This window comes from Homo sapiens, chromosome 9 (genome assembly GCF_000001405.40).
Source record: "Homo sapiens chromosome 9, GRCh38.p14 Primary Assembly".
NCBI classification, from domain to species: Eukaryota; Metazoa; Chordata; class Mammalia; order Primates; family Hominidae; genus Homo; species Homo sapiens.
In genome coordinates this window covers 116,687,294-116,702,503 of record NC_000009.12, presented here as the reverse complement: position 1 = coordinate 116,702,503, position 15,210 = coordinate 116,687,294, and the positions used below count along the sequence as shown (strand labels likewise).

Below are 15,210 nucleotides of genomic sequence, written 5' to 3'. Positions count from 1 at the left end.
AGATAATTGCAACACAGTGATTTATATAATAGGAATGTGAAATAGACAGTAGAAAGGAAGAGATGAACTTGATATATTTGGAGACTTGTGAGGGGAAAGAAATGCCTGAGAAAGGTTTTAATCACCAAATAGAAACCTGTTAAGCAAGAAGAAAGGAACTGTTTAGCATGGTTGGACCACTTCCCACCATCAGGTGCTCTTTTGAGCAACTAGATAAAAGAGTAACAGCCATCATTTATGGAATATTCCAGGAATGAAACCAGGTTATTTTCACATGTTATCTCATACCCTTCTAGGAGGCAGGGATCATTTTTGTTATTTTCCAGAAGAGGAAGAGTTAAATGACTTGCCCAAGGCCACATGACTAATAAGACAGAACTATAAGGTAAGCAATGCTGTAGTTCAGTGGTTTTCAGAAAAGTATTCTGTAGATTCACAAGTTTTGCAATGGTAGCACAGGAGGTAAGGTAAAGGGAGGAAACAGCATATTCTTCAGCGGCACAAACCTGCTTCAACCAGAGCAGCTGCTCTTTGATCTATTTTACATGATAGACTTCCATATAAGACTTTATTTGGACAAGGGTACTGCTGCTTTAAAAAACAAAGCAAAAAAAAAAAAAAAACCCAAAAAACTGCTGTAATTGAACAAATTAGTTTCTTGGGGCCCTAGTCTGCAATTTAGTCAACACAGCAGATAATTAAACATCGACTGTACTAAGCACAGCCTAAAATATTCACATCAAAGGGGAAAAAGGAAAAAGACTCAGATCACACTTCCATTTTGAGCCAACAGATAACTGCTTTACTTGAGGGAAAAGGCATGACTGGTTTAGATGGGTAGAGATCTAAATGCTGAATGTCACTCAGTGATGGCACCTCTTTCAAAAGCACAGACAGCTGGAGGATTCCTGGCCTCATTTACCTTCAGCCTGCCCACAATATTATATTTCTCTCTCCACTGCAAACTGTGTGCCAAAGGCCTGAGCCACTGTTATTGCCTCAGCAAGTCCCCCACTGACAGCAAAGACAGATCTCCTGCTGCTGGGTGCCCCCACAGATAAAGTGGCTCTAATAACTAGTGGAGTCATTTGTGATGCACTTTCAATTGGATCAATTTCCTCTCAATTACCCAATCTTTGAAAATCGGATGCAATTTCATAATCAGAATATGGGGCTTTCTCCAGATGAAAAGAACAAGACAAACTAGTTCAACATCATTTTAATGACCTCTTTACCTATCCTTTGGCAGCTATTATGATACAATCCAAAGAAACACTACTACCATAAAAACAATTTTGAGCAGCTCAGTTTAGCAAATTTTGTTTACATCAAAGTAAGGCAGTTGCTCTTTGGCTTGCCATCAGCCCTGCACCTAGAGTAAGATATATTACTTAGTAAACACCAAACCCTCAGGAACCTCATCACAGGTCCTCTCACCCACTTCTGATCTTAAAAACAAGACTAACTTCCTTTTTGTGAACTGTAATTATAAACATAAAACATACAGCAGAAGCTCAGAATAGGGTATTGGTGACTCTAAACCTTGGGGGATGATTCTGTACACATGTATTTGGGAGAAAGATTTGGATTATTATCTTTACATAATAGTGCTTTTGGCTGAATTTTGACCTGGGTAGATATCTACACTCTGAAAGAACACAGTGAGATAAGGAAGCAAAATGGCATAGCGCAGGTTATCCCTCTTATCATCTCCAAAATTCCGTATTTAATTAAAAGACATGAACACCAGAGATGAAGAAACAGTTCTCAATTATTTAATGCTTGATAGAGAAATGGAAAGAAATCCTGAAACCAAATAGTATGTACTGACTTGAGGAAAACACAGAATAACAAACCAATAGTTTTGCTGTTTGTTTTAGTAATGAACATGAAAATGTGTCCACCTCTCCACTTTGTTGGCCCTGGCCTATGTTGTACAATTCCTTAGACACAGGCCAGAAGAGAGAGGTAGTATGAAAAATGATGAGCCCTAGAGACTATCCAAATTTGCTGACTATATCAGCATTTGTTTGCTTATTCCCAGCTTCCTATGCTTTGGCATAATTCCAACCCATATATGCTTCTTTAAAAGGCAAGCAATTTCCAGGCTGAAGTCATCAATACCAACCAACTAGGGTCAATCCATTCTGTCACATCTGCAATTCTCAATCCAAGATGGCACAGATCCTCCAGGCGAGAGGTACTGCTTCCTAAAGGGCTTGTGTATCCCCTTTGGTAGCACTAAATGAATGACTTTCATACTGGTAAAGACGATCAGACTGAGACATAATGTTACGGGAATATGATGTCTTAAATGTCACTGAAAGGTGGAGCAGATCCCACTGAAGCATGCACAGTGAATCCAATCAGAGTTCAAGAGAAAGTGTCACAGATGAAGCACATTATAGTAGGAAGGAAACAATGGATCAAGGGCATCAAAGCCAAATGGGAAAAAATCAAGGATTTAATACAAGGGCAAATTTCAAACATGGCACAAAGGGCTAAAGTGGCTCTCTCTACTAAAGCCTTGGAAGTGCCTAATTGCTAATCAAACTTCAGCTAACACCATCGTGTGTCCTATTTGGGCAGTGCATCTTTTAAAGCTCTAAATTTAGGTGGGAAGCGGGGAGGGGGACATAACAAATAAAAACATTAAAAGATGGAGCTTCTGAAGTTCTAGAACTACCCAGCTGGAATCAGGACATAGGCTGAGTCTATTCTGCATGTGCCACTAACAACCAAGAACTAAGGGAAGGGAAGTTGGCTTGGGAGCAGAAGAAACTGATAATTTCTCATCCCCTATGGGGTGGAATATCTTCTCAGATGGTAGCTGTAGATCTTGATGCAATGATCCCAACAGTCCAAGACCAGCAGCTGCCCCTTAGGAGTTAGGGCTATGCCCACCGGACAGGTAAGTCCCTCTCGAATAAGGACACTATAGCCCCCACCCTTAGGAAAATGGAGAATTTCCTTGCGACTACTGTCAGCCACGATGAGATCACCACGAGCATCCACACACATGCCAGCAATGCAGCGGAAATCCTCATTCTCCGAGAAGAAGTGGCTAATCTGGCGACCCAGCTGCCCATCAGGGCCTACAGAGCCAATGGAAAAGCCACCCTCCAGGTGGTGCTCATTCTGCCGATTCTCCAGATTGAGGCCTAAGCCCTGGGTGAAGTAGACGGTGCCCTCAGCATCACAGGTGACAAATTTGGGCCGCACAGCACTACATAGGCAGCTGTATTTGACCACCCCTGATCCTCGATCAACTGTGAAACACCAAAGCTTTCCACCTTCCACATCGGTTACTACAAACTGGCCAGATGGCAAGGCTGTGATACCCCATGGTTTGCTCAGCTGGCTCCTGTGACAGGCCACGCAGTGGCCATCCAAGGTATATACCTTGAGGGAGTTATCATAGCTGTCAGTCACACCAATCAGCCCCTGGCAGTTCATTGCCACTGAGAGAGGAGTGAGGTTGGGTAGATCTGCCCCAAGGAAGCTTAGCACAAAGCTATCAATGCCACTGGGGCTGCGGCGGATTTCCTTCAAAAAGCCTTTGCGGGTAAAGACTTGTATACGATAGTTACCACGGTCAGCGACTAGTACTTCACCTTGACTGGTCACGTAGAGACTGACTGGAAGATTGAACATTCCTGGAGTGCTGCCTTTGGCCCCCATCTTCTTGAGAAAGAGGCACTGCTGGATATTGGAGGCTGCCTCAGGACCCCGCTGTTTAGCAGGTGAGGCCCTAGGGCTGGCAACCACTTCCTCCGGGCTCATGTCCATCTCTCTAAAAGTAACAGAGGTAGAGGCAGCAGACGCTGTGGCCTCCATGGCCCAGGAATCTTCCACGTTAACTGTCCGGGGCTTCTTAACAGCTTGTCCAATTTGGAGGGGGCCAACATGACCTACCTTAAGGAGCTCCACATCTTGCAGGGTGAGCTCCCGAGGCAAGCTGGCAGTGAGCTCTGGCTCCTCCTCATCAGCTGTCTCCTCCAGTAGTGCTACATCTGCCTGCTTGATCTTGGCCAGGAAGTAGTCACAGCGAGACACAGCCTGCACCTCTGCAATGTTAAGCAGGTAACTCTGCTCCTCTACCACTTGACTATTGGACTTCTCAACTTCAGCCAAAGAGCCTGTGAAGAACTTCCGAGAGCGAGCCAGCTCATCCTGGACCCTGCGCTCCTCATGCCCATACTCCTGGAGAACTGCTTTATACCTTGCCTGAAGGTCCTTGGAGACACCTTCCAAGGCTGCCTTCCGCCGCTGCAGCTCCCCCATAAGTTCCCGCAGACGAGTTAACTTCTCTCCAAAGTCCCGACGCCGCTCCTCAGCTGCTTCTTTGACAGGGAGTGTACAGTGGCCAGGAGGCTGATGGTCTGCCTCCCGGCAGGGCTCACATAACACCAAACCACAGCTCCGGCAGAATTGCCGGGGCAGACGCCGCCCACAGGACCGACACATGAGCAGCCCCACAGCCTCGCTGAGCCCAGCTGTATCAATGATCTTTAGCACTGTCAGATTGTCTGTCAGCTGGGTCAAGCTGGTTATGCGGGTAATCTTGCTGCAAAAGGGACAGCGGACACCATTGATGCTACTGGCCAATAGCTTCTCCAGGCACTGGCGGCAGATGGTATGGCCACAGTGCAGAAGCTTGGGACGCAGCTGCTCTTCTGTGAAGGACTCCATGCAGATGGGGCATTCTAGCACTTCCCGGAGGGCATCCAGGTTCAGGTGAGAAGCTGCTGCTGCAGCCATTGCTCTTCCTTTGAAGGGTATTGCTAGCACAGCTCAGAACTGAACAGCACAGTATTCATGCCCTAGAGGGTCAAATTCCTGCTAAAGAGAAAAAGAAACCATTATTCATTTTCCTCTGACTATATAAATAAATTCACTCAAGAAACATTTAGAGAATAGCTATGACCAGTCATTCAGTCATTCCCTTACTTAACAACTATTTTATTGAGGTCTATTATATGTCACGTGAGGGTGACAGATAGGGAAACAAACCAGACAAAACACTGCATAGTGGGAAATAATTCAGATTCTGTAGTCTCAGACACTTACTTAGCTGCATGACCATAAGGAATTAACTCAAACTTCCAAAAGCTCTTTCCCCATCACTCATCTGTAAAATAGAAGTAATAATGGTGTCTGCCTTATATGGTTATTATAAGGGCTAAGTAACAAGATAAATATGATGTGCTTAGTATAGCACCAGGGAAGTAGTATACTTGTAATAAATGCTAATGAGCTAATGATTATTTTCATATTTGGTGAATTTTACAACTTCTGATTTACACTAAGAGAAAAGCACAGGAGAATTATGCACAGTAAAAGGAATAAGTATAACATGCAAGTCCACATAATGTTCTGCTGGAGTACAGTGGATGGAATGATGGATTCTACCTAACAGACTTGGGGAAGGCTTCCCAAAAGCAGTTTCACTCCTAAGATATGTCTTGAAAGAAATGAAGGAATGAGGATAAAGGTACTTTAAGCAAAGAAAACCATGTAAGCAAAAGTGTGGAGGCTTTTTTTTTTTTTTTTAATCATGTCACAGAGTTTATTGTGTCATGTTTGGGGGCCTAGGAATCATCCACAGAAGCAGAAAATTGTGATGATTAGTTTTAGGTGATCTGCAAAACATCAGATCAGAAAATACACATTTTCCACGCATCTATCCTCCTACTTACTCACCTATCCACCCATCTAAGTTTAGGTATCTTGTTCTGTACTAGATACAAGAGGTCTTTAGGATACAGATCCTGCTCTTCAGATATTCAAACTTTATAAAAGACAAGACATGTAGGTAAATAATAATGAAGGCAGAAAGTGGTACTATAAACGAAATAAAAACTAAGTTTGATGGGGGTTGAGGAGTCATTCCAATCTGAAGGGATACAGAATTTTCAAAGGGAAGATGACATTTTATATTGGCCTGGAAAGATGCATAAATACATGGAGAGGGAAGAAAGAAGTGGGCAAAAGGCACAACCTTAACAAAGTATAAAAGGCAAAGGAAAGGACAAGAAGTTTCATGTATTAGAAAGAAAACAGAGAATACTTAAACTCTATGCATTTTATTTTCTCCACCTTTAAAATGGAAAAATACTGTCTTTACAGAGTTAATGTAAGAATGAAATAATATATAGAGTGTATAGAATGCTAAGATTTGGCTCTGCACCAAAAAAGCCTTTAATGAATTTTAGTTCTCTTTTTTATTATCCTTAGATTAAAACTGTGGGAGTATATATGGGGAATAGAGTAACAGACTTGGAAAGGTAAATTGGGGGAATAATTATAAAAGGTCTTCAGAGCCAAAATGAGATTTTTGAGCGTCATTTTCAAGGGCATGGTGAGGTGATGAATGTTTTGAAGCAGGAAGATGATATGATCAAAGCAGGAATGGAGTGGGGAAACATCAGAGAAGACGGGGATAATGGGGAGTCTGAACTAGGGAGCAGGTGGTGGAAATGGAAAGATTCATTTGAGCAATATCCAGAAGTATAGTCAGTAAGATTTGAAAGGTGAGTGGATTATGGTGGGGGAGTGGTGAAGAGCAGAGATAGCCAAAGACTCAAGCCTAGATGATTTAAAAAATAGCAGTGCCTTATCAAGACAGTTTATTTCTGGCTTAGAGTACCCTCTGCGTCACCCAATACAAACCATGAACACTCCAACCCTCTTGATATACATATACTTATGAAGTTGACCCAGAGAGATCTCAGTGCTCTGTAGCCTTAGGTCACTGTCAACGTATACCCCAAATCAGAATGAATAGGTCTAGCAAGTTGAGGCATATGATAAAGTCAGCATTTCATAAACGCAAATCCTACAGCTGTATCTGTGCAGTCTTGTGATCTGCAGATGGTCAACCACCCAGGAGAAGGAGGAAGTGGAGGGCAAGTTCGTTTGATTTTAAGGACAATGCATTTAGCTCAAGAACACTTTGCACATGACATCAACTCTTTCTCCAGGCATAGAGAAGAAGGGGAGTTAATGTAGAGATATACATTACAACAAATTTCTACCATATTAGCTTTGGAATGCAATCTGACAAATATATAGCAGCAGACATGCACAATTATCTAAAGTTAATCCTTCCTCCCTGATATCCCACTTCCTTTGTACTGCAAGGGAAACTATGCATCTAGTGCCTATTATATGCTAGTTACTATGACAGATACTTTATATGCTTAATCTCTTTTAATCTTCATGATGACACTATGAAGTGGTAATATTTTTATTATCCTATTTTACAGATGAGGAAACGAATGCTCAGAAAAACTTGCTCAAGGTCACACAGCTCAAACATAGTGGAACCTTGAAGTACAGATATTTTTACTTTATTTAACCCAACATTATTTCAAGCTATTTTTTACTGTCACATAACAATGATTAACTAATGTTCCCTTGACCACGCTCTGGGGAATGCTGCCTTATAGCATACGCATTTTCTCCATAACACAGAAGGAACACTAATATAGTTATGAGATTCTGCTGCTATAGAGTGGGATAGATTGATTTATTAGCTGAGTGACCTACTCTCACACAGCAAGCTTGCAACCCATTATGACTCAAATCCATACCTCAGCAAAATAATATTTACCATATATCATGAGCGTATGAGGTCTGATGTGGATATCTGAAACTATGAATGGTAAATTCTTAAATGCCAAGTGTCTAGGGGCAATAGCATAGACATACTGATAGAAATTACAACTCAGGGCCAGGCGTGGTGGCTCATGCCTGTAATCCCAGCACTTTGGGAGGCTGAGGTGGGCGAATCATGAGGTCAGGAGATCGAGACCATCCTGGCTAAGACGGTGAAACTCCGTCTCTACTAAAAATACAAAAAAAAAAAAAAAAATTAGCTGGGCGTGGTGGCAGGCGCCTGTAGTCCCAGCTACTCGGGAGGCTGAGGCAGGACAATGGCATGAACCTGGGAGGCGGAGCTTGCAGTGAGCCGAGACGCGCCACTGCACTCCAGACTGGGTGACAGAGCGAGACTCCATCTCAAAAAAAAAAAAAAAAAAAAGAGAAATTACAACTCAGGATCCATGCAACCCTTCTCAATTCTAAATCAATAGCTACAGTTCTCTCTTCTATCATCTGGGACAACAGACTGAGGACATTTGGAGTTTGAATCTAGAACGTTACCTTACAATGCACAGGGACATCTGTGTTCTTCCCAGAGCTGGCAGTGCAGATCAGTTTATTAAACAAGGCTGCCAACTTGTAAAAATAGCAGCAAATTATTTCCCAAGCTTTCTGGAATATCATATCCCTCCTTCAATTGAAAAGCTTCCTACCTCTCTGTCTAAGACATCAGGTTTAAAAAAATGAATTTACTATGCCCACATCCCCAAATTATCTCAGCTGACTACAGCTTCACCAAGCTCTCTGAGGATGTCAAGAATTCCTGCCCCAAAGCTGCCATGCTTTGCCAGGAAAACCTGTGTTCCCCTCACTAAAGCATGAGGCACGGAAATAGTCTCAAACCTGGAAAAAGCCAGAACCACTTTTCCCACTTCCATGACTTGAAAACACTGCTTTGTGAAGGATCTTAGCCTGAAATGGAGCTAAGAGACAGGCAGATAGAGCCCGTCTCCTCCAGAAGGGCACATCTGGTCATTACTGTAATACTGAGAATGACTCAGATAGAAGGTCAATTTGACTTCAGTTTCCCCAAAAGACTACACAAATAAAAGGAATTGTCTTATCATTCCAAATCTTTAAGTAAGCTGCCCATTTTCTGCCAGCTATCAACTGTACAACCAATCAGAATGAGTATCCAACATGCTATGTATCATCTTGGCTCCCTTCATGATCCCTTGAATGTCTGTTTCCTGTTGTGCACTTTGTGCCATTAATTCTTGACCTCCCACCTCATCTAACATCAGCCTACCATCTTCCCACATCCCTTGACCTAATGATTAATACTGTACATCCCATACCATACTGTACTAGCACATCTCTTCAGCTCCCGATGAGAATCTGTCCCTTAAGCTGTGTCTACTCTGGCTGCCCTAAGACTCAGAAAAATTACATAATTATATTCCATATTAATCTCGCCTCTTCTAGCACCACTGGGTTTTCCCCATTCCATGAAATGAGTAACCAAGGTAGTAGAAAAAGCAAACAAAACAAAAGAATGAACCTTAAAGTTATATAGGACTGAGATCATATCTTAGCACTGTCACAAGTTGTGGGGAAGCAGGCAATTTATTTAACCTGTCTAAACCTGTTTTCTTAGTTTATAAAAAGAGTACTGTAATGACTATGGAAAATGCATATAAAGTACTTAGCCTGATACCCTTAGGTGTACAATAAAAGGATGCTAAATAAATAATAACCAGAAACAGCATTAACAATAACTAGTACTAGTATTAATAACGCATTCAGTTTACAAACTACATTTTGAAAGCATGAACAACCTTTCCTTTCATGGCATATAAAGGCATATAAAGATTAATAAAAGGGCTGGTCAGTTTTGAAGAGTTTTGATTGAGAATGCCAGACATACAGGCTAAAAACTGATGGGTAAATGAATTTACAACTTGTCTTGCCCAGAAAATGAGCTGCTGTAGCTCCTTCAAGCAGAGACTAAGTATGAAATGCTAGAATTCGTAGCAATCTCCTTACTTGAGACCAGGAAGTGGAGGTTGCAGTGAGCTGTGATGATGCTACTGTACTTCAGCCTGGGCAAAAGGGGAAGAAAAGGTAGTAATCTCAAGTTGTAAAATAGATGAGAAAACTAAGACCAGGAGAGGGAAATTAAGACCACAAATCACACAACAGAACTAGGACTAAAAGACACGAACTAGGAGTGGACAGTATTATATAGATTAAGGAAGCAGGCCTGAGGGATCAGGCTTTCCTGGATTTGAATTCAAGCTCTACTACTTATTGTGGAGACGTGAGCAAGTTATTAATACTTCTGTAGTTCTCAGTTTATCTATGGAAAGGGACTTTAAAATAGTATCTTCCTCACAAAGTTATTGCAAAGATTAAATGAGATTATGTGTGTAAAGCACTAAGTACAGTACCAAGCCAGGCATGCAATTAACTATACATAAATAATAGTTTTTATTATTATTAGCAGTAGCAGCAACTGCTGCTGCCACCACCCAACCTATTAGAAGAAATGAATAGGCACTTTTCAGCAGACTGTACCCAAGGCCCCAGATACATAAACCTAAATAATAAAAATTCTAAGCCCTCCTAGAAATTGTTTTACCTGATCCCAGAATCTAAAGATTAGAGATGATCTAAGGTTTCAAATCTTCACCTAATGCTTGAATTGCCACCATGGGGTGGTTCTCTAGATATCTCCATTTCCTTTACCTATATCAGCCTTTGGTGGCTTAGGCCATGAGCAAAACTGGAGAACTTTAAGCAATTAACAAAACAAATCTTTACTAAGCACCTACTATGTGTCTGGCCCTGTGAACGGTACTGGTGATACAATTTTGAGCAAAAACCAGACATAAACAGTGCTTTCCCCTAAAAACTAGACAACATGTAAAATATTGCATTTCCTTTCACAAGACATAAAGGTCCATCCTACTATTGACACGCTCCCCTGGTTTGACTGGGTTTTTTGCAAGGTTTATCTCATTTCCTTTTATGTCAGCTTTCTAAACTTTATTCCTCATGCATTCTAACAGAATGCTAATCAAGTGCAAAACTATCACTGTGCCACCAAAGGCCACTCGTTAGCAGGACTGACTTTAACGAATTCAGTGAGGTCATCACCTGACATCCACTCCTGTGTGTGGGAGAGGATTCTGATGAAGTTTAGATTACTCAGGGCATTTAAGGCACCTGCAGACAACTAAGATAAACTCAACAAGTAGGGGCTTATAGGGAAACACAGGCATGCTCCTGAAGTTGTACCAGTCTGGGGCAAACAAAACGATCCAGAAGGAAGTATGTTTGTAGAGAAAGAAAACTTTAGCTAAATTACTAAGTTAAACATAGCTAAACTATGTCAAGGGCAGGCTAAATGAATAATAGGGTTTCCTGGAAAACATGCTTGCCTGTTGTCTCTGTCTTCCTCTAAAACTGCAGGACCTAGAAAGACTCCCTTGCATCTTTCACAAACATTTGAGTAGTACCTACGCTGCCAGTATGACTCAAGGAATATAAGACAAAGGAAAAATCAATAGCCCCTTCTCAGGGACCTCCAACTAACCTCAACCCTCTCTCTCTTTCAATTCCTTTCTCTGCATATAACATCTGTTCATTTAATCATGAGATTATGATTAAAGGATCAAGGAGATCCTAGGAAATATACAAAATGGGATGAGAATTTTGGGGAGACTAGCAGAGACTACTTAGGGTTATCAAAATCTGGCAAAGAGCCTGAGCAACAGAGTGAAACACCATCTCTACAATAAATTTAAAAGATAATCAGGTGTGGTGGCATGCACTTGTGGTCCCAGCTACTTGGGAGGCTGAGATGGGAGGATCACTTGAGCCTAGGAGGTTGAGGCTGCAGTGAACTGTGATTGCACCACTGCACTCCAGCCTGGGTGACACAGCAAGACCCTGTATAAATAAATAAATATGACAAAGCAACACTTAGTTCTCTTCCAGCACTGCCTTCCTCTCATAATTGCTAACACTCTTAAAGCAACTACTATTTATTGTCAGGCATTTTTTTATATGTTCTCATAGTCTCATAATAACCATGTAAAGTAAGTGTGATTCCTCTTCAAAAATAAGGAAACCAATGCTCAGAGAAAGTAGCCTGTCCAAGGTCTCAAAACCAATAAGTAATAGAGCAAGGATTCAAATCCCAGTATCAACTCCCAGCCATAAAATTACTAACTTAAAGGATGTTTCATAGTTCCCTAGCTTTAGACAAAGTCTGGCTGAGAGGTTGGTAAGGGCACCTAGAAATGATTTTTAAATTTGATTGTTTTACCAGAAAGACAAGATGGAGGGAATGTCACAAAGGTTACACATCAGTGTGCATAGACAATGATCTACTTTAAGGGCCTTATAAACTTCTGGCTTCCAACTATTCTCCAGACATAAACATAGGGGCTCTGAAGGGTTGGAAAAGGCTTCTAATAAAACTACTATAATGTAACATAGGTGTAAGACAGAACTGGGTTTGTATCCCAACCTAGCTACTTGCTCTGTAGCCCTGGGTAAGTCATTTAACCTGTTATTTTTCTTATCTGTAAACAAGGAATAAAACCTAGACTGTTAGCAGGATTGAATTCACTAAGATAATGCACATAATAAGCACTCAACAAATTATAATCATTTGCATTTTTAATAGATTGAGGCTGACAGGACAAGTGCCGTAGCTACTGACAAGGTAACATAGGAAATTAGAGTAAGGAGTTTAGACAGGGCTGATTTAATTCCCATGACATATTTTCTTTTAGGGATGTGCACAGATATTCCAGCTAAGTCTTGCTGTCAGACACAGTCTAGCTTTGTTTCTGAACTGGCTTCAGCAACCCTGTAGCTAGTCCTGGAAATGATAGAGCCAAATTCTGTTCCAGGGAAAAGCAGACCAAAAGAGACCATACAGAACAGTAGTTACTCTCCTTCAGAGTATGACTGCCTTCAGCCTCAGTCCCTGCTATGAGGTGTTTTTTCAAGCCAATGGCCTCCATACCTCACCCTATAGTCCGTTGCACCTCATCCTGCCTGATAACCTCAGGCTCCTCTCCTTATCTAGCCCCAGGTCTTGGTCTAAGGGCAAACCAAGAACAAAGTCCAGGGCTCCTCCCTACCTAATCAGAGAGATTTACCCCCCAACTTTAGAGTTCAATCTGATAGTCAGTGATACTCACTGGCAATCCTCTTTTTCATTAGAGGGGAATGGGCTGAGAAAATAAGACTAAGCAGGCCCTAGCAAGGAAGAAGCAAGGAAAGCGGGAATATACGGAGTTACAGAGATCTGGGTATGAGCTTAACTGTGTCATTCCTAGCTATGGAAACTTAGGCAAGTCACTTCCTAAGCCTTAGTTTCCTCATGTGTAAAACTGAATACAGTAGAGCCTACTTAGAAGGACTGTCATGAAAACTGAGTAAAGAAGTAGATACAAGACTAAAAATTACTAGATTTTGAGAACTTACTATGTGCCAGATCCTAGGCATGCTAGTTTACTTCACTAAATCCTCACAACAATTCTGTGACATTGGTCTTGTTATCATAACCCCATTTTACAGATGAAGAGCCAAGGCACTGGGTGGTTAAGTAACTCATTCAAGGCCACAAAGTCAGGAAGAGATAGAGCTAGGACTTAAAGTCAGGAAGAGATAGAGCTAGGACTTGAACCCAGGGTATCTGACTCTAGGTCAGAGTGCCTCAACTTTGGCATTACTGACATTTTAGGCAGGATAATTCCTTACTGCGGGGGGGAAGGGCGTATCCCACACATTGTCAAATGTTTAACATAAAACATTATGTTTAATGTTTAATCTACCCACTTGAGGCCAGTAGTATCCCCCACCCTGTGACAACCAAAAAACATCTCCAGACATTGCCTAATGTCTCCTAGGAGACAAAGCCAGACTTGGTTAAGAACCACTGCTTTACAGTCTAGCACAGGACTAAATGCTCAATACCTAAGGGTTCCCTTTTTTTTTTCTGGTGGTTGTTGTTGTTGTTTTGTCTGTCTCCGAGCCCAAACACCTCACTCACAGAGCCACTGCCCCTTCAAGCTGTAATGGATCTTATATAGGATAAATTATTCCACTCATTCCCCTGGAGGTCTCACTTTCTATCTGCTATCGTAGCTTGGGGGTACAGGGAAAAAGGGCTTAGGCAGATGACCTTGAATAGTTCCACTTCTTCTTCCCCAAAGCCTACCACTTTCAGTGGGCCGGGGGACCGGTGGTCAGAATGGAGTTAGTGGCAATACCATACCTGCCTCATGATAACGGATCTTTGTTTAATAAATGAAGAAGATTCTGCCCTTCACAGGGATTACCACACTCCTTCAGGATTATCTGAACTGAAGATTTATCACTTTGTTCCTCAGCACCTGAACTCTGCTCATCTTCATATACTCATCCAGTTTCATACATTACTTTTAGGTCCTTGGGTCCCCTGAACTCCCTCTGTCTCCCATGCAGCGATTTAAGGAAAATCTCTTTAGCAGCCCAAGACACCAATCCACAAATCTACTCAGGGTCCTTTGATTTTATAGCCCAGTTAGGACATCTCCACCCCACGATTCAATCCTCTCCAAACCCTGTCCCCAACCCTCTTACAATTCCAAATTCCAATCTTTGGGGCTGTATATTGCAACCCTCGTCAATTCCTCACTCATATGCCCCAAATCCCTCGGACTCAGATCGTTTAATCCCTATTTCCAAATCTCTGCCACACTCAGCCCCGCACCTCAGTTCAACGCCCCAATTCCTCACCCCAGATTTCTGCTCTCCCTCAATCTGAGCCCCCATCTCCTGCATTCCATCGGGCACTGTGCTGCCCTCATACCCTGCTCCTTCCTCTTATGCACTGAATGTCATGTGCTGCCTTCACACCTCAGCCAGCTCCCTTCTTTCTGCTAACAAGATAGAGTCCCTCAAGAACTCACCCCACCCCCTCAATCTCACCCTCAGCCCACTCCGAAAACCCTTTCTCAATAGCACTTAGGATCGCCCTAGACCTTGCTCCTATCATCTCAGACCCTGTCCTTGCCAGATGCCTAGCGCCCCCAGATTTCCTCAAATCTCATCGGGGCCCCCCAGTTCCTTCATATTTCTGAAATTCTGCACCCAGGTCCCTCCAGGGCCCTGATTCCCTCCCATCTCCCACATGCTACACCCCGTTCCTCCTCAGGGCCCCGACATTACCTCATACCTCCCGAGATGCTGCAACCGCAAATCTCTTCAGAGCCCCTCGCTCCCCTCCCCCAGCTGCATCTCCTCGGATCTCCTCAGCCCCACGAATCCCTCCCGAGCCTGCCCCTCGCAGCCCCACCCCCACCCTAGTCCTGCCCCCCCCAGATCCGGTCCCCACACCCTGCCATTCGGGCGCGGCCGCTGCACGCCGGCACGTTCCCCCGCCTGGCCGCTGAGCCACGGCCCACGACTCCGGCCGCGGTCCCCAGTCCCCAACCCTCCTTCCCGCCCCCTACCTGACCGCCCGCGGCTCCGACGAGTCCACCGCCGGCAGCCCACCCGCCTGCCTCCCTCTGCGCACGCGCCGTTGAGCACCCCTTGCCG

General features: G+C 43.0%; 2 protein-coding genes across 8 annotated transcripts in view, besides 2 other annotated features; one reads left to right on the top strand and one right to left on the bottom strand.

The window, feature by feature from the left end:
• The window catches only part of ASTN2 (astrotactin 2), a 991,946-nt gene that overhangs the window by 712,554 nt on the left and 264,182 nt on the right, over positions 1 to 15,210 (top strand). The gene's annotated exons all lie outside the window — the stretch shown is intronic.
• Positions 1,205 to 15,199, bottom strand: TRIM32 (tripartite motif containing 32). Of its 5 annotated transcripts, NM_001379048.1 has the most exons (3): positions 15,123 to 15,199; positions 5,071 to 5,131; positions 1,205 to 4,842 (listed from the first exon to the last, which is right to left on the bottom strand). In NM_001379048.1, exon 3 carries the CDS (start codon positions 4,759 to 4,761, stop codon positions 2,800 to 2,802), a length of 1,962 nt encoding a protein of 653 aa, NP_001365977.1. In that variant the 5' UTR covers positions 4,762 to 4,842; positions 5,071 to 5,131; positions 15,123 to 15,199; the 3' UTR covers positions 1,205 to 2,799. The 5 variants fall into 5 exon arrangements, with proteins under 5 accessions (NP_001365977.1, NP_036342.2, NP_001093149.1 ...); NM_012210.4 differs by lacking the exon at positions 5,071 to 5,131; NM_001099679.2 differs by lacking the exon at positions 5,071 to 5,131 and having other exon boundaries at positions 1,205 to 4,839.
• Positions 14,723 to 14,772: an enhancer, noted in NCBI's record as "active region_28885". NCBI's record gives its function as "activates an Ori minimal core promoter by ATAC-STARR-seq in GM12878 lymphoblastoid cells {active_cell/tissue: GM12878}" and the evidence as "EXISTENCE:reporter gene assay evidence [ECO:0000049][PMID:35858748]".
• Positions 14,943 to 15,142: a silencer, noted in NCBI's record as "silent region_20221". NCBI's record gives its function as "represses an Ori minimal core promoter by ATAC-STARR-seq in GM12878 lymphoblastoid cells {active_cell/tissue: GM12878}" and the evidence as "EXISTENCE:reporter gene assay evidence [ECO:0000049][PMID:35858748]".

Excerpts from the sequence above, each read along its gene's own strand:
- TRIM32 (NM_001379048.1), bottom strand. The coding sequence starts at position 4,761 with ATGGCTGCAGCAGCAGCTTCTCACCTGAACCTGGATGCCCTCCGGGAA.